The 18,538-nt window shown below is 37.0% G+C and overlaps 1 protein-coding gene across 24 annotated transcripts in view, besides 1 other annotated feature; it reads right to left on the bottom strand.

The window, feature by feature from the left end:
• Nucleotides 1-18,538, bottom strand: part of TCF12 (transcription factor 12) — a 373,221-nt gene that overhangs the window by 111,667 nt on the left and 243,016 nt on the right. For all 24 annotated transcript variants that reach the window (NM_001322151.2, XM_011521960.4, XM_047432971.1 and 21 more), the window contains one exon: nt 13,178-13,242. In NM_001322151.2, the coding sequence (NP_001309080.1) occupies nt 13,178-13,242 (65 nt within the window). The remainder of the gene's footprint in view (nt 1-13,177; nt 13,243-18,538) is intronic.
• Nucleotides 4,247-4,447: a silencer, noted in NCBI's record as "peak2352 fragment used in MPRA reporter construct". NCBI's record gives its function as "represses an SCP1 promoter by STARR-seq MPRAs in K562 erythroleukemia cells {active_cell/tissue: K562}" and the evidence as "EXISTENCE:reporter gene assay evidence [ECO:0000049][PMID:32103011]".

The following is an 18,538-nucleotide window of genomic DNA, read 5'->3' as shown; positions in this document are numbered from 1 at the left end:
TTAATAAATATTGTCTATAAAGTGTCATGCAAGTTTGAGAAGATGACAGTCATCCATCAAATGTATCCTGCCAACGAAATCAGCCCAATCTTTAAAAAAAAAAAAATTTCTTTTGAGATGGAGTCTTGCTGTGTCGCCCAGGATGGAGTGCAATGGCACGATCTTGGCTCAGTGCAGCCTCTGTCTCCCAGGCTCAAGCAATTCTCCTGCTCACTGCAGCCTCCACCTCCTGGGTTCAAGCAATTCTCCTGTCTCAGCCTCCCGAGTAGCTGGGACTACAGGTGCACACCATCATGCTTGACTAATTTTTTTTGTATTTCTAGTAGAGATGGGGTTTCACTATGCTGGCCAGGCTGGTCTTGCACTCCTGACCTCTTGATCCGCCTGCCTCAGCCTCCCAAAATGCTGGGATTACAGGCATGAGTCCCGTGCCCAGTCAATCAGCCCAGTCTTTCTAGCACAAAAAAAGAAAATAAACTATGCATGTAATATTACAGTGCTAAAACGTGACAATCTAGTAGTTTCAGTTTCCTAATCTTCTTTAATTATTAGTCGCAATAGGAAATTTTACCATCTTAATTTTTCTTTTTCACTAATTTTTTTTTTTCTCAACTTCCCTCCCAAATCTTTTATCAGCCAATGAGAAGATATCACAGTAGAGAGATCCGGGATGTAGATCAATACAGACAGACTTCTTAGAAATAAAAGAAATATGAAGAGAACAAGCTAAATGTCATTTTAATATATGCAATATTTGAATAATTACAAATATGGAATAAGAATGACTTTCCTTTAGGAATGTATAGGCTTCCATAAAAAGTCCAACTTCCAAAAATGCTATAGGGGATTTTTTGAAGGCAGTCTTGTGAGGTTAGTAGTGAGCATACTCTAAGCATGTCTACTTCAAAGTGAGTAGTTTTTCTGAATGCCTGAATTTACAACTCTCTTATTAAAAAGGGCTAACTGAATGTTCTCCTATGTGTTACCAGTATGCCTTTGCGCCTTTTCTTTAATGAATACAAAGAAGCCAGCTGTGTGAGGTGCTAACATTAGAAGAACAGGAGATGAAATCTTATTTCTCTTTGGTATTCGTGGAAATGGTGTTAAGTAGCACTACTATTTTCAGAAGAGTTCTAATACTTTGAAGCCACTCTTTTTCTCTTTAATACTAGCTTTAACATGGAGCAACTAAGTATCCTCTCTTCTCAATTCCTTGTATTTTTGTAAGTATAATTAAGAGTAAAAAAACCCAATATAGCATTAGACATATAGTTAGGCATGCCATACTTTATAAAATGAAACATTACGTACTGGACGTCTTCAAAACATTAAACTTCTTAGTTTAGAACATTTCATAATACACAAAAGTAGGAAAAAAAAGTACAATTAACCTTCATGTACCTATCACCCAGCTATGACAGCTGTCAACATTCTGTTGTTCCGGCTTCATTTGTTCTGCCATCTCCTACCCCTTGTTACATGCTCCAAAATTGACAATAATCCCTTATCATGTAATAGCCAGTATGTTGTCACCTCTTTTTTCTGTTTTGAGATGGCATCAAATCTCTACCCATTATTTAACAGGCTCTTTTCTCCTGAAATAAGTTTACGAAAGAATAAACGGACTTTCTGAAACTGCTTCCAACGAGCACTAAGTATCATCAAAAGTATAATCATCAATTTTCATGGAGAGAACAGAAAGAAAGAAACAATGAATGCAGCCTGGGCAACATGGCAAAACCCCATCTCTACCTAAAAAATATAAAAATTAGCCGACTGTGGTGGCACATGCCTGTAGTCCCAGGAGGCTGCAGTGAATTACCCAAACCTGGGAGGTCAAGGCTGCAGTGAGCTGTGATCACGCCACTGCACTCCGCCCTGGGTGACAGAGCGAGATCTGTTTCACAAAATAAATAAATAAATAAATAAATAAGTAAATAAAATAAAAATAAAAGAAAGAATGAATGAAGTTTTTTCCCTGCCAAGTAGGCCCTGCCTAATCCAACTCTCTCTCTCTCTCTCTCTCTCTCTCTCTGGCCTTTTAACAAAAATAGGACATTAAAAGTGTCTATTGACTGGGCACAGTGGCTCACGCCTGTAATCCCAACACTTTGAGAGGCTGAGTCAGGTGGATCACCTGAGGTCAGGAGTTCGAGAGCAGCCTGGCCAACATGGTGAAACCCCCTCTCTACCGAAAATACAAAAAGTTATCTGGGTGTGATGGGGGGCACCTGTAATCCGAGCTACTCAGGAGGCTGTGGCAGAAGAACTGCTTGAACCTGGGAGGCAGAGGTTGCAGGGAGCCAAGATCATGCCATTGTACTCCAGCCTGGGTGACAAGAGCAAGACTCCATCTCAAAAAAAAAAAAAAAAAAAAATTGTCTATTGCCTGATACTCCAAGATCAGACTTTCTTTCCACAAAACAATTTATTTACCTATGTTCCAAACAACCCACAAAATGCACATCACTCTGCAGGCAGCTGATGGCTTGTTAGCCTTACTTATATACTCTTTCCTAGATCACATGGTTCAGATTCAAACAACATTTTCTCAATGCCTACTGTGTGCCAACTAGTGTGCATGTAGGCCCCTTTCACATGCTACCTTATGAGTCAATCATCTCTGGATAGCTTCCACATCAATCCAAGAGCTAGTCTTACGTCTTCTTAATCTTCGTGACTCCAACAATTCCCTAAATCACCAATCTACTCCCCAAAGGAGGACTAGATTGTTAGCCCTGGAAACCACTTGACTTGTGAAATCTGTAAGTCCAATATTCAACTCTTTGACATAACCTCCTTTTCTTATAGTGCCATCATTCCCTTATTACTTACTGCACCTGCTCTTTCACTGCATAACAACCAATATCTTGACCTTTTTTCCAGTCACAAAGTTTAATCATGGCTTCATTTCCTTCCTTTGAAACCTGGTCTAGTACTTCAACTATTCTCTTATCACTACATCAATTCTCCTATCCTTCTAATATTTACCAGCTATGAAATCTTGGGTGAATTATATAACTTCTTGAGGCTTCAGGTTCCTCAGCTATCAAATGGGAGGAATAATAATAACAGACGCAACAGCAGCAACAATATCACCACTTGAGTATGGCGGGGACCAAATGAAATTATGCTTATAGGGTCAAGTGACTGATACATGCTAGTTATTATGTAGTATCATCATTGTTAACCTAGCTAACTGGCCTGCAATCCTGATCACTATATTGATTCAACCATTTGCTGTCTGTGCTTATACATGTAGTTTGCTGGGTAGTATTAGAATAAAAGTTGAAGCACATACACAATCATACAGGTTAGTGTCAACAGTAATTTCTGGTCACCAACCTCAGATGGATCATCAACACCATTTGGAAAGCCTTTTACTTGTCACTAGAGAGCTCACGGAATTGAGGAACATTTTAAGGTCTTCTATTTCTTTTTCTCTAGAGACAGGGTTTCATTCTGTCACCTAGGCTGGAGTGCAATGATGCGATTATAGCTCACTGTAACCTTGAACTCCTGGGCTCAAACAATCCTCCTGCCTCAGCCTCCAGAGGAGTGGGAATACAGGCATGCAACACCATGCCCCTTTTAAGGTCTTTTATTTCAGTCAAACAATAGGTACTGTAATCTATTATAAAATACCAGTAAAGTAGATGTCTACCCTCTGCTTGGAAACATCCAGTGGGAGAAAGGCATTTATCTACCAAGGTTTAATGTTCTACGCCATTAACAGCTCAACACATGACAACATTTCTTTTTAAAATTAAGCTGAAATCTGGAATGCTTAATTTCTACCTATTGTCCAACTTTTTAACCTTCAAAGTTATAGAAAAGTCGAATTATGCTTCAAACACTTAAAAGATGCTCTTCATGTTATTTGAGTAACTAACTTCTTAGTTCTCTGAATGAGTTGGTTTACTTATGCCTGTTCTGAAACAGGTTTGCTCAGAATACAATACAGTATCAACTTTCTTGTTCTAAATATTACATTTCTAATAATTCTGCCCAAGACTGAGGCTACTATTAGGTTTGTTGTTACATAAACAAAGATCAAAATTGCTGTTTAAGACAACTAGTTTTAATTAATCCTGTTGGCGAAACAGCAGGCCAGTGTAATCTTGTTACAAAGTGGAAATGATCTTGTTCTTGACATTACCATACAACATAAGTCTAGAAGGGACTGGAAACTTGCTAATTCACTGTACTTAAACCTCCTGTTACAAAGAGAAAAACTGTAGAAGCCTTAGCTAACCTTACAGAGTTGTAGGAATTCTTTTTTTTAAGACACAAGATCTCGCTCTGTCACCCAGGCTGGAGTGAAGCAGCATGATCACAGCTCACTGTAACCTCAAACTCCTGGGCTCAAGTGATACCCCTCAATCACTTGAGTGATCAGCTTCCTGAGTAGCTAGGACTACAGGGGCACACCACCACCTGCAGTTAATTTTTAAATTTTTTTGTAGAGATGGGAATCTTGCTAAGTTGCCCAGGCAATTTGAACTCCTGGCCTCAAACAATCCTCCTGCCTCAGCCTGGAATGCTTTATATATCCTGTATATCAGTCCTTTGTTAAATATGTTTTGCAAATACTGGACTTCTAGACTGTGGCTTACCGATTTATTTTTTTTTTAACCTATGTCTTTTGATAAGCAGAAGTCTTTTAGTTTTTGTTTTGTTTTCTTCCCCTAAAGAGACAGGGTCTTGCTATGTTGCCCAGGGTGGCCTTGAAATCTATAACCCAATTTAGGAAGAACTAACATCTAAGTGACAGTAAGCCTTCCAACAGATGTTTGAGTTTTCACTGTTGAAGCTTTGCCATCTTCTGTTACATTCTTCCCTCAGTATTTCACGCTTTTGGATACTACTATAAGCAGTACTATTCTGTTAATTTTATTTTCTAATTTTTGCTGATAGTGTACAGAAATACAATTAATTTTTTAGATTGACTTTGTATCCTGTGATATAGCTAAAAGTACTATTTAGTTTTAGAAGTTTTCTTGATGATTCCTTAGGATTTCCTATGTACACAAACACGTCATCAGCAAATTCAACTTACTCCTTTTCAATTTCTATAACCTTATTTCTTGTCCTCATACACTGGCCAAAACATAAAATGATGAGAACAAAAATTATTACCTTGGTGCTGACATTAGGTGGGAAGCATTTAGTCTTTCATCACTAAGTATTCTGTTAGCCATAGATTTTTTTCATGTTTGTCTTTTATCAAATTGAGGAAGCTACCTTCTATTAGCTTGCTGAGAGATTTTATCATGAGTATTCAATTTTGTCAAATATCTTTTCTGTATCTATGGAAATGATCACATTGTTTTTCTTCTTGATTCTGTTATAATGTGGTGAACTAAATACATGGATTTTCAAATCTTAAACCAAACTTTCACTTCTCCTACAAACCACACGTGTTGTTTGAGTATTACTGGGATGTTGCTCACCTGATAAAAAGAGCTGAGAAATGTTCACTCTTCCTCTGTTTTCTAAACTAACTTGTATAAAATTGGTATTATTTTTTTCCTAAGCATTTGAAAGAATTAATCATTTTGAAAGAAGCCATATGACCCTTATGCTTTCTTTGTGGGAAGGTTTTTGATATGAATTAACTTTCATTAATAGATATACAGGCCGGGTGCAGTGGCTCACGCCTGTAATTCCAGCACTTTGAGAGGCTGAGGCGGGGGGATCACAAGGTCAGGGGTTTGAGACCCGCCTGGCCAATATGGTGAAACCCCATCTCTACTAAAAATACAAAAATTAGCCAGGCGTGGTGGCGGGCACCTGTAGTCCCAGCTACTCAGGAGGCTAAGGCAGGAGAATCACTCGAACCTGGGAGGCGGAGGATGTAGTGAGCCGAGATAGCACCACTTCACTCCAGCATGGGTAACAGAGTGAGACTCTGTCTAAAAAAAAAAAAAGAAAAAAAGATATACATGGATTCAGATTTTGTTTCAATTTGTCTCCTCTTGGTAAGTATTTTTCAAGGAATTCATTTATTTAATCTAAGTTGTCAAATTTACTAAGTTATAATATTTATTATATTCTTAATGTATATATGATTCATAGCAGTAACCTCTCTTTCATTCCAGATTCTGGTAATTTGTGTTCTTGTTCTCTTCTCCTTCCCCTTGTGTTAACTGGTCTAGCTAGGGGTTAACTTTATGATTTATTTCAAATAGCCAAATTTTGGTTTTGTTAGTTTTTTCTATTACATTGATTTCTGCTCTTATTTGTAGTATTTCCTTCTTTCTATTTATTTTGGGTTTACTTTGTGTTTCTTTTTCTAGCTAAGTTCTTAGGGCAGAATCTTGGTCATTCACTGTACATCTTTTCTAATACAAGCTTTCAAAAGTATACTTTCCTTCAAGGCACTGGTTTAGATGCACCAACACATTTTGTTATATCACATTTTCATTATTATTCAGTTAGAAATATCTTCTGAATTTCCTGTGGTTTCTTTTTAAAACAATGGGTCATTTAAACATGTTGCTTAACTTCTGAACATCTGGTGTTTTTCTAGATATCTTACTGACATTGGTTTTTGAGACAGAGTCTTGCTCTGTTGCCCAGGCTGGAGTGCAGCAGTGCAATAACAGCGCACTGCAGCCTCGAACTCCTGGGCTCAAGCAATCCTCCCGCCTCAGCCTCCTGCCACCACACCTGACTAGTTTTCTTTTTTTTTTTTTTAATTTTAATAGAGACAGAGTCTAACTATGCTGCTCAGTCTGGTCTTGAACTCCTGGGCTCAAGTGATCCTCCTGAATCGGCCTTCCAAAGGGCTGGGGTTACAGGCATGAGTCACCACACCTAGTCTTACTGACTTCTAATACAACTTTGCTTTTTACTAAACTTGTATTTTAGATTCAGAGGCACATGTTCAGCTTTGTTATATAGGTAAACTCGTGTCGGGGAGGTTTGTACACGTTATTTCATCACCCAAGAAGTAAGCCTAGCACCCAATAGCTATTTTTTCTGATCCTCTCCCTCCTCCCACCCTCTACCTTCAAGGAGGCCCCCGTGTCTACAGGTGCCTTCTTTGTGTCCCTGAGTTCTCATCAGAGTTTTTATTTAAGTCTTTTGTGTCCAGAGAACATACTCTGTATGGTTTCAAACCTTTCCAATTTACTGACACTAGTTTTATGGACCAGCGTATGATTCCAGCCTGTTAGTGTAATGTGTGCCCCTGAAAGGAATTTATGTTCTTCAGTTGTTGTATGCAGAGTTCTATACATATCATTTAGGTCAAGGTTGTCGATAGTTAATTTTGTTCTACATCTTTACTAAGTTTTTTGTCTAGTTATTCTGCAAACTGCTAAGACAGAAGTATTCAATTTTCCAAGCATGATTGTCAATTTGTTTATCTCTCTCTTTAATTCTATCAATTTTTGTTTTGCTTCGTTTTGAAGCTTTCTTATTAGGCGTATACACATCTGTCATTGTTATGTCTTTCTGATACATCAACTCTTTTATTATTTTATTATTATAAATGTCTGCATATGAGATTGGGTATAACAGGAAAAAAGAACAAGGAAAAACCAAATGGTATAAGCTTATCTCCAAACAACTAAGAGTTAAGTAAGGTACAGTTTTTAAAGCTGTCATTTTTTCAAGGGTATAATATCTGAACTCAGATGAACTTCACACTTTCTGAAAAAAACCAAGACCCTGCCACCTTCTACATTTAAACACTTAGAGAAAAACTTATGAAACTATGTGAATAAATACTTGCTTAAGAGGTATAAATGAAAAACTTTGTTATACTGATAAAAGGATTTTTCACTTAACTGTGGTAGTTTTTAAAGTGATATACCTATTATTAATAAAGACACTGGCTTCTATGCTCTGTGTTTCATCAATAAAAAAATTTAACTGCAGAATGATCTATCAGTGTTTCCAGTAATACTGCCACATGAGTTTCCTTTTAATGGCTCATCAGTTAATGTGATTGTTGTGAATGTAATATGATGACACTCATTTAGCAACATATTATTACATCATCTTAACATGAAGTAAGGCCCATCAGGCATTATTAAATTAGTCTGAATTTTGCAGTATGTCAGCAGCATTTTATGTACATTAATAGCAGAGTTAATGCTCCTTGGGGAATTCTGTTGAAGAAAAATGGTTTTAATGTGGTGTTTGGGTATAATTTTGGAGTCACTATTTATATTTCCTTGGATTTTTTTTGTCGCTTGTGAATAGGTAAGACAAAATGGCAGCCAGTTAGTTAAAGTATATTTTTTGTCCCTCCTCTGACTCATTATAATAAATACTGTCTGGAATACATGTTTTCCTTTGAATAGTTTATCCTTGCTGCAGAATAATCTTTCCACTCTGCTGAATTTTGGGCTTCCTCTCTGGGGCTCACGAACTGCTCCTATGAATTCTTAAAAAAAAAAAGGTATCTTTCTCTCATCTGAATATCTTTAAATCTTGTATATAGCAATATTGTTATTTTGTATCAAACATTCTAGTAGCCTTGTTCTTCTCTTTTCCATAGGCCTTCCTGATCTCTCCAAAATGTTTATAAACTGTTTGCTAAACAGTAATCATATAGTTTCCTCCAAGGATAACTCCTATTGGCTTACACAGAGGAGTTGGCATACACAGAGGAGTTGGGTTTCTTAAAGCATGAACTCTAGTCCATGTGAATCAAAATCACCTGGACATTTGTTAAAAATTTAAATTTCCTCTGGGAGTGGTGGCCCTTGTCTGTAATCACAGCACTTTGTCAGGATGAGGCAGGAAAATTGCTTGAGCCTAGGAATTTGAGACCAGCCTGGGCAACACAGTGAGACCCCATCTCTAAAAAAAAAAAAAAAAAAATTATATATATATATTATATATATATATTATATATAATATATATATAATATATAATATATAATATATATTATATATAATATATAATATATATATTATATATTATATATAATATATATTATATATAATATATTATATATATATATATTTTATATAATATATATATTATATATATATATAAAATTAGCAGGGCATGGCGGCTGCATGCCTGCAGTCCCAGCTACTCAGGGAGGTATATGAAGACCCAAATAACCTTTTGTTATGTGGGCCACATGAATTTAGAAATTTAATATTATGTATTTATTTTTTGAAATGTTTTCACAAGCGCATACACTTTAAGTTTCAGAGACCTACTACATAGGTGGAAGCAGAAACTGCTTATCTTTCAGATGAAGAAATCAATGTAGAGATGAGACTTGAACCTAGGTCTCTTGACTCTAAACCTTACATCCCTTGAGCCCAGGAGGTCTTGTGAGCGCCACTGTACTCCAGCCTGGGTGACAGAGTGAAACCTTGCCTCAAAAAAAAAAAAAATTTTTAATTCCCTGTCTCCTTCTCAAACAAATAAAAATGAAGGAAGGTAATAAGGGCACGGAGTTGAAATCTGATGGATTCCTATGCTGAAGTATAGTCATATAGTCAAAACACTCAAGCATGAGTTTAAGTTTACCACTTGCTAGATATGTAGCCTTAAGCATAATACCTTAGGAGAACCTCTGTTTACTAATCTGCAAAATGAGTTGTTGTTAAAAGAATTAAATGTGATTATGTTTAGTTCAATGGCTGGTTCAGTTAGTGCTCAGCAAATGGTAGCAAATTTTATTAGAGCGCTACACATTTAGGTTTAAAATAAATGTCTTTTGATATGAGAATTAAATGTGGTACAAATGCACATTAATCCTTGGTAAAAACTGTTAAGATTCACCTTTGCAAAACTGGACAATTACATTAATAGAACTTATTGCTGACTCTAACTAAACAGCAATACCTTTGCCAAGAGGGTATAAATACGTAAGTGAAAACATTTGAACATAATAAAAACATTAATATAAGCATGAACTATGATTTATTAGACTTAGCTGTGGTCTCAAAAAGCTTACAATAGTGTTTTCTCCCCCCTCAAGTTTAGCAGTAATGTTAACATTAGCCCAGTGGCTCTCAAACATTTAGGTCTCTTAAAAATAATATTAAAGATCCAAAATATCTTTTGTTATGTGGATTACATGAATTGAGAACTTTAAAATTATTTATTTATTTTTTGAAATGTTTTCATAAGCCCATACAGTTTAACCTTCAGAGATCTACTAAGTAGGCAGAAGCAGAAATGGCTAATCCTATCTTTCAGATAGAAATCAGTGCAGAGATGGGACTTGAACCTAGGTCTCTTCACTCTAAACCTCTGTCTTACCCCCCTCAACTGACATTTACTGACCTTCTACTGTATGATTAGGAACTGAGAAAAGCACTTTCATATATCTGATAATTAAACAAATTTGTTATGGTTATGAGGTATTCTTATGAGAATACATGTAAGATTCAATACTGCCTAACTAAGCTGCTATCTTAGATTTAAGATGAAGACGAAAAGACTTTTAAGGCCCTGAAGCAGGGTGGCAGACAAGTTAGCTTAATGATATGTCACAGAGGCAGTTTGCACAGCTTAGAAGCTTAAACCTACAGGATTCTTTGTAGTTACTTTTATCAATCATTCATTGTCCAAATGATGTAACTTAGTTTGGTTATTTATTTATTTATTTATTTTTGAGACAGAATCTCCCTCTGTTGCCCAGATTGGAGTGCAATGGTGCAATCTCAGCTCACTGCAACCTCTGCCTCCCGGGTTCCAGCGATTCTCCTGCCTCAGCTTCCCAAGTAGCTGGGATTACAGGAGCCTGCCACCACGCCCGGCTAATTTTTGTATGCTTAGTAGAGATGGGGTTTCACCATGCTGGCCAGGCTGGTCTCAAACTCCTGACCTCAGGCAATCCGCCCGCCTTGGCCTCCTCCCAAAGTGCTGGGATTACAGGTGTGAGCCACCGCGCCTGGCCACAACTTAGTTTTTCAAATTTTGTTGTACTCTGAAGAGATTCAGAAGAATGATGGTTAGGTGGCCTACAAAACTCTCAAAATGAGTACTATAGCCAAGATCAGAAATTAGATCCACGGCCTCCAATCCAAGTCATTTATGAACTAAAATTCAGACTATGAAATTCAAACAGTAACTTGTATCATAAAAAAGAATGAGTTCTGATATCAACTATGAATTGCAGAAATATTACAATCACCAATCCACATTTGATATGGACCAAAAAAGAGGATATTTTGGTTTTCATCAATGGATATTGCTAAAACTATACAGAATAAATTGTGTATCTTGGTTGGCCTTAAAGCACTGTTACCTTTGAAAAAGGTCAGAAAGATACCTTAATGGGGGCTAGATGTTCAATTGCTGCTTTTCTATTTTTTACTGTGATCTGAATAAGCACTTATATTCTGTGGTTCTCTGCAATTTTTAACTAGGCATGAGCGGTATGCTGGTAAATGTTTAACAACTGTTTAAAAAAATGGAAGCCCTGAATTGTAACATTTTTGAATTTCCACAGTGCAGTGTAAATACTTCCTTGATGGCCATTGTTTTGCTTGTTTTTATTTATTTTTTTTTAGAGATGCAATCTGGCTACATTGCCCAGGCTGGACTTGTACTACTGAGCTGAAGTGATCCTTCTGCTTTGGCTTTCCAAGTAGCTGGGACTACAAGTATAAACCACAGTGCCCAGCTCATAATAGCCAATTTTAAGATATCAGTGTGATGTCAACCATACTTGCTAAATTCCTAAAAGTTTAACAGATTCGGCTCTTGTCAGCTAGTAAGAGCTGGTAAGGCAAAACACTGGCTATGACACAATGCTAATCTATATATATTTTAAATGACTAGAATAAAATAAAGCTAACCATAAACGGAAAATAGAGCAATCATTAACAACACTAAAACTTTAAAAAATCACTTGGATGAAAATAGAGTAAGACTGCTTGGTCTGAAGCCAAGAAATCTGAGTGTTGGTCCAGTAACTACCCCCAAATCTATGATATTTAACAAATCACTTATTCAGACCATGCCTATTTGCCATTAAGGACATGGGAATATATGATCCTGAATTTTTACAATATATTTATTTTCTCTCTCTCTTTCTTCCTTTCCTTCTCCCTTCCTTCTCTTCCCTCCTTCCCTCCTTTCTCTCTCTCTCTTTTTGAGACAGAGTCTTACTGTCACCCTGGTTGGAGAGCAGTGGTGCAATCATGGGTCACTGCAGCCTTCAACTCCTGGGCTCAAGTGATCCTCCTGCTTCAGCCTCCCAAGCAGCTGAGACTACAGGCATGCACCACTACACCTGGCTGATTTTTACATTTTAAGTAGAGACAAGGTCTCACTATGTTGCCCAGGTTGGTCTCAAACTCTTGAGCTCAAGTGATTCTCCTACCTCAGTCTCCCAAAGTATTGGGATTACAGGCGTGAGCCACCGTGGCCAGCCTACTACAATACATTATTTTATAATGGGAAGGCATATCACAAAACAGGATGTTATGTAAAACTCTCTTAGAGGCACAATTATGAAATATGTATTAAATGGAGTATTATTAGCATGGCAGTTAAAACCGGCTCACATGCCCATGCCTGAAATTAGGGTGGGCCCTCATGTAGAGCATGCAGATGGCAGAAAACAAATTTAATATGTTCTGCCTTTCCTTTCTATTCTTTTTGGCTTGATTCTGATGGGAATCTGCAGGTGAATTGTGTGTTCAGGATTCTCAGTCTAAAGATATGAGGAAAAAGGCAGAAAAGATGCCCATTAGCAGAAGCACAAAATGCTAGAGAAGGTGGGAGAGTCGAAACAAAGATTCCAAGTCAGGGAGGGTGTGAAGCCTAAAAATTGGTTACATGCAGGATTGAAAACAAAATACTTCCAATATTAATGATCAGTTTGACATTACAGGATATTTAAGCTATGCAGATCAATCATATATTCTTTATGTACCACCAATTACGTTTTCTGTGAGAAAATATGCAAAAAAATTTCTCAGAAATGACAAGCATTTTGGAAAGCGGTAGCTTTGTTTCCAGTTAAAATGGAGGTGGGTTATGAAAATCTTTGATGATAAAGACAGCCTGGTAAACTGGGGAACTGAAACAATTTTAAGCAAAGAGAGCAAAAAACAACACTTAGTTACAAATTAAACAAACAGTAGTGAAATAAATTGGATAATTTCTATCTCATCTATTAATAGAGCCTTTATTTATGTGTTTAAAAACCATCTCATTGCTTTTTTTAATCATTAAACTTACTTGACAGCCTGGTAATCCAGTATCTCTGCTGTACAGGGAAAATGAGCCTCTCTCTGATGTTTTTCCTATAAAACAAAGAAATTAACTTTATATAAAACCCTTCATTTATTGACAGACAATCAAACTGCTAGACTATTCATGGTAATTATATTGCAGTTTTAAAATAGAAAGAACAAATTAGAAATAAGAGGATACAATTCAATAATTTGTAAAACTTGCTATCACTTCAGTCAGTCTGAGTCAAATTCTGGGCAGGATGTAGTGACTCACGTCTGTAATCTCAGCACTTTGGGAGGCTGAGGTGGGAGGACTGCTTTAGTCCAGTAGCTCAAGACTAGCGTGGGCAATAGTGAAGCCTCTCTACAAAAAATAAAAAATTAGCATGGTGATATATGCCTGTATTCCCAGCTACTCAGGAGGCTGAGGTGGGAGGATCACTTGAGCTATATAAAGTAGCATGTAAATACTTTATTTTCAACGTATAGTATTTTAAAACACATTTAAAAGAATGAAAGACATTTATATAGCCAACAATATGATACATGTACCCACTAGTTAGAATGTTTTCCCATGTTTGCTTCAGACTGAACCTTCTTCTCTTCTTTCTCTCTCAAAAATTAATACAGTATTGGGCCAGGCACAGTGGCTCACGCCTGTAATCCCAGCACTTTGGGAGGCGAAGGCGGGCGGATCACGAGGTAAGGAGATCAAGACAATCCTGGCTAACAAGGTGAAACCCTGTCTCTACTAAAAATACAAAAAATTAGCCAGGCATGGTGGTATGCGCCTGTAGTCCCAGCTACTCAGGAGGCTGAGGCAGGAGAATCACTTGAACCCAGGAGGCGGAGGTTGCAGTGAGCCAAGATCACAACACTGCACTCTAGCCTGGGTGACAGAACAAGACTCCGCCTCAAAAAAAAAAAAAAATTAATACAGTATAGACATAGCTCAAACCACACCTCTGGATAACCATTATCATAATAATGATGTGCATGATTACCATGTATGTTTTATACTCTTAAATATATATTCATGTTCTCGAACAATATACATTACTGTTTGCATTTAATATATTTAAACAGATGGAATTACATGGTTTTTATCTTGAAACCTGTATTTCCATATATTATGTTTTTGAGCTGTGTGTTGATAACAGATCCCTAGTTTGAGCATCTTTACTGCTATACAATATTCCATTATACAAATAAAACCAGTTTATATATTTCCCTACGGAAAGATAGTTTTTATATTTTTTTGTCATGAGCAATATTGAAACAAATATCCTTGCACATCTCGTGTACGCACACACACACACACACACACACACACACAGACATACATTCCTTCAGGATAGACACAAAGAAGGGAAACTGGTAGATTAAAGGATGCGAACTTTCAGCTTTATAGGCATTGATTGCCTTATTATTCTCAGAAGTCACCACGCCCATTTATATTCTTCCCAGCAACATGTAAGAATTCTTGCTGTGGTGGGGGGCAGTGGCTCACGCCTGCAATCCCAGCACTTTGGGAGGCCGAGGCGGGCGGATAACCTGAGGTCAGGAGTTCAAGACCAGCGTGGCCAAAATGGTGAAACCTCATCTCTACTATAAATACAAAAATTAGCCAAGTGTGGTGGCACACGCCTGTTAGCCCAGCTACTCGAGAAGCTGAGGCAAGAGAATCATTTGAACCCAGGAGGCAGAGGTTGTGGTCAGCCAAGATCGTGCCATTGTACTCCAGCCTGGGTGACAGGGTGAGACTCGTCTCAAAACAAAAAACAAAAAAGAAAAAAAAATTCTTATTGTGACTATACCCACTGATACGGTTTGGCTGTGTCCTCACCCAAATCTCACCCTGAATTGTAGATCCCATAATCCCGACATGTCGTGGGAGGGACCTGGTGGGAGGTAACTGAATCATGGAGGCGGTTACCCCCATGCTGCTGTTCTTATGATAGTGAGTTCTCACAAGATCTGATGATTTTATAAGGGGTTTTTCCCCTTTTGCTCGGTACTTCTCCTTGCTGCTGCCATGTGAAGGAGGACACTTTTGCTTCCCCTTCTGCCATGACTGTAAGTTTCCTGAGGTCTCCCCAGCCATGTTGAACTGTGAGTCAATTAAACCTCTTTCCTTTATAAATTACACAGTCTTGGGTTATGTCTTTATTAGCAGCGTGAGAACGAACTAATACACCCACAGTTCAAAACTTTCATGGCCAAGTATCAGTAATAGTATGGGCCAGTTCTTGAGGGAGAATGGAGGTTAAGTCTCACAGCGTTAACAATTAACAGTAGGGTACTCACTCATTTGTATTCAATATACTAAATGAATTTGCAAATGTGGTATTTTTGAGGCTCAGTAACTAAGGCCCCCAAACATGGTGCTTTGACATGCTGGATTGAAGCAGCAGCCTCAAGGTCTCTCTAAGTCATGCCCTCTCCACCAGACCCCTCCCCACAATCTTCTGTTTTTTGCAAAGCACAGAATGAAGTTGTTCTCTGAAATTCCCTATCTATTTAGAAACCGGACCTGCCAAAGAAGAACACAATTACCTTCCCTGAGTTTCAGTAATTCCTTCTATGCCAGTCATTCTAAGTTGGCAGTTCCCTTCAGTCTCTGCCATCTTCTTGTTCCAAGAAGATTTCTGATCCATTTTGATTACATGCAGGGAAGGCTGTGTATGTCAGAATTGCAAGTGTACAATCCTTTAATGGTTTTATTTTGTAGTAACTAGTTTTATTGAATTAATTCATTTATTTATTTTGAGACAAGGTCTCGCTCTGTCGTACAGGCTAGAGCACAGTTACATAATTACAGCTCACTGCAGCCTCCAACTTCTGGGCTCAAGCAATCCTCCCACCTCAGCCTCCCAAGTAGCTGGAACCATAGGTGTTTGCCAACACGCCTAATTTTCTAAAATTTCAGTTTCAGTAGAGACAGGGTCTCATAGTATGGCCTAGGCTGGTCTCAAACTCCTGGGCTCAAGCAACCCTCCTACCTCAGCCTTCCAAAGTGTTGACGTTACAGGTATGAGCTACCACGGTGGCCTAGCATTATTATTTCAAGGATTATTTTGCATATCTAAAGGGTTAACAGATGTCAGATTTAGAGTTGTAAAACTTCTACGTCAATTAGTCAGCATGACATGTATACTTTAATGAAAATGATACTAGTCTATTTCTAAGGTTTTTAAAAATAATTATGTATCATATCAATAAACAATTTTGAACATCCTATTCACCTGTAGAGTTTTTTTAATTAGTGAACTACATTTTTTATTTTTTATTTTTTTTGAGACTGAGTCTCACTCTGTCACCCAGGCTGGAGTGCAATGGCATGGTCTCGGCTCACTGCAACCTCCACCTCCTGGGTTGGAGTGATTCTCCTGCCTCAGCCTCCCAAGTAGCTGGGACTACAGGGGCGTGCCACCACACCCGGCAAATTTTTGTGTTTTCAGTCGAGATAGGGTTTCACTATGTTGGCCAGGCTGGTCTCGAACTCCTGACCTCGTGATCTGCCCACCTCGGCCTCTCAAAGTGCTGGGATTACAGGCGTGAGCCACCACACTCCATCACAAGTTAATACTGTATTGTATTTTGAATCAAATGTCCTAGTAAGAACTCTTTAAAAAAAAAAAGTTGAAGTGGAAAAAGGAACAAGGTTAAAGGTGAATATTAGCTCTGTTTTTAATAATGTACAGCTTTTAAATACAATCTTAATTATCTGTGTCGAGGCTACCCATATGATAGATCATTTTAAAAAACCTAAAGTTTTAAACTTACTTTCCTGTGCTTATTAAAATTCCTTATCCTTTCATAAAGGACATTGAATTCAAAGAGAATGAAAACTAATTTAACATAAGCTGAAGATGTTACAAAGTAAAAGTTTCTTCTGAAATGAAAGTTGATAGCTTATTTTCAAAATGATACTTAATCTATTCAAATAAGATTTTGAACTGTAAATACATTTTTATTTCACCTTTCATTTATTAGAAACTAGTTATTTTCTTAAGGACTTATAAGTTTGAGTATCCTTGAAATAAAATAATGCATACTCAGTCTAAGACTTAGGAGGCATTCATTTTTAATTCTTTCAAAATTACTTTTCACAAGAACTATTTTCATGAATTAAAATTAATCATATACATTATCTTTCTTTTATCTCAGGCATCTGACAACAAAAATCTCTGGCTACTGTATTAAGGGTTTCTACCAACCTTTTTTTTTTTTAACATAAATATACATAAATGAAGTATAGACAATTTTAACCAGTCAACTTCAGCTGAAAACAGTTTAAGAACTACTAGTAATGTAACATATATCTAATTTTCCTTGAAGCACCTATGAAAAAATTATTACAAAGAATTCTCTGGGATAGTCTAATACAGGGTTTTTACTACACTCTTGTGTTGCGGGGGTGTGAGTGTGTATAGGTATCGGTGTGTGCACATGTGCATGGGCCTCTTGGGCGGACTTCTCAGAATCACGATTATAAATGTACAAAACAAAATGTAAGTATTTTAATGTACAATGACACGTAATCATCAAAATGTTCTTTTAAAAACCTCACATTTCCTGTAATTTATTAACACATTAATAAGATTTAGCAGCAGGACTAATAATAATTTGAAAGCATAAATAATAGCTTAAGATATCTGCAACAATTATGATATGAAAATATCTATTGTTCTACTGTGACAAAAACTGTAGGTACTGTCTGGATTATTTTGTTATCCGTATTCAAAATGGAAGGCCATGCTAAATTTCACTTAGAGATTGGTAAAAATAAAGATGACAATTTTTTCCCATTCAAGTTCACTGATTTTCCTTCTGTCCTGGGATTCTCTGGACTCCAGGTTAAGAAACCCAACTCTAGTAGAATAGCAACATATTATTGGAAAATATACAAGAATAAGACATATATATGTATATTAAACCATCAGACACATAACTTGTGTGCAAAGGTATTTTAAGTAGCTAAACTTACATGGTTTACATTAACTACATTCAGCATTTTCTGACCTAAACTAAAAATTGCTCAAGAAATGACAGATAATTCTGACTAATTTATACAGTATTTAAAACATTTATTCAAGAAACAGCAAATGACTGAAGTTCAAGAAATTATTTTCTCCAGACTCATAAACTCTTAGAGGCATTAGTTACCCTAACAAATATTCTCAGACTTAAAAAAAAGTTATCTTGCTCTCTACCACTAATATACTTAAGTTATAACCTTTCAATGCTTACAGAAATACAAACTAATGCTATTCTTTTGACATAAGATACAATCGGCAGTCACAGTGAAGGTGGGAGTGGACAGGCACAGTTCTACATTCCCATTTCTCCCCATCTCAATTAC

The sequence above is a fragment of the Homo sapiens genome, chromosome 15, assembly GCF_000001405.40.
Source record: "Homo sapiens chromosome 15, GRCh38.p14 Primary Assembly".
In the NCBI taxonomy this organism is placed as follows: Eukaryota; Metazoa; Chordata; class Mammalia; order Primates; family Hominidae; genus Homo; species Homo sapiens.
Note: the sequence above shows the minus strand (reverse complement) of the source record. Positions and strands in the feature narration are given on the sequence as shown.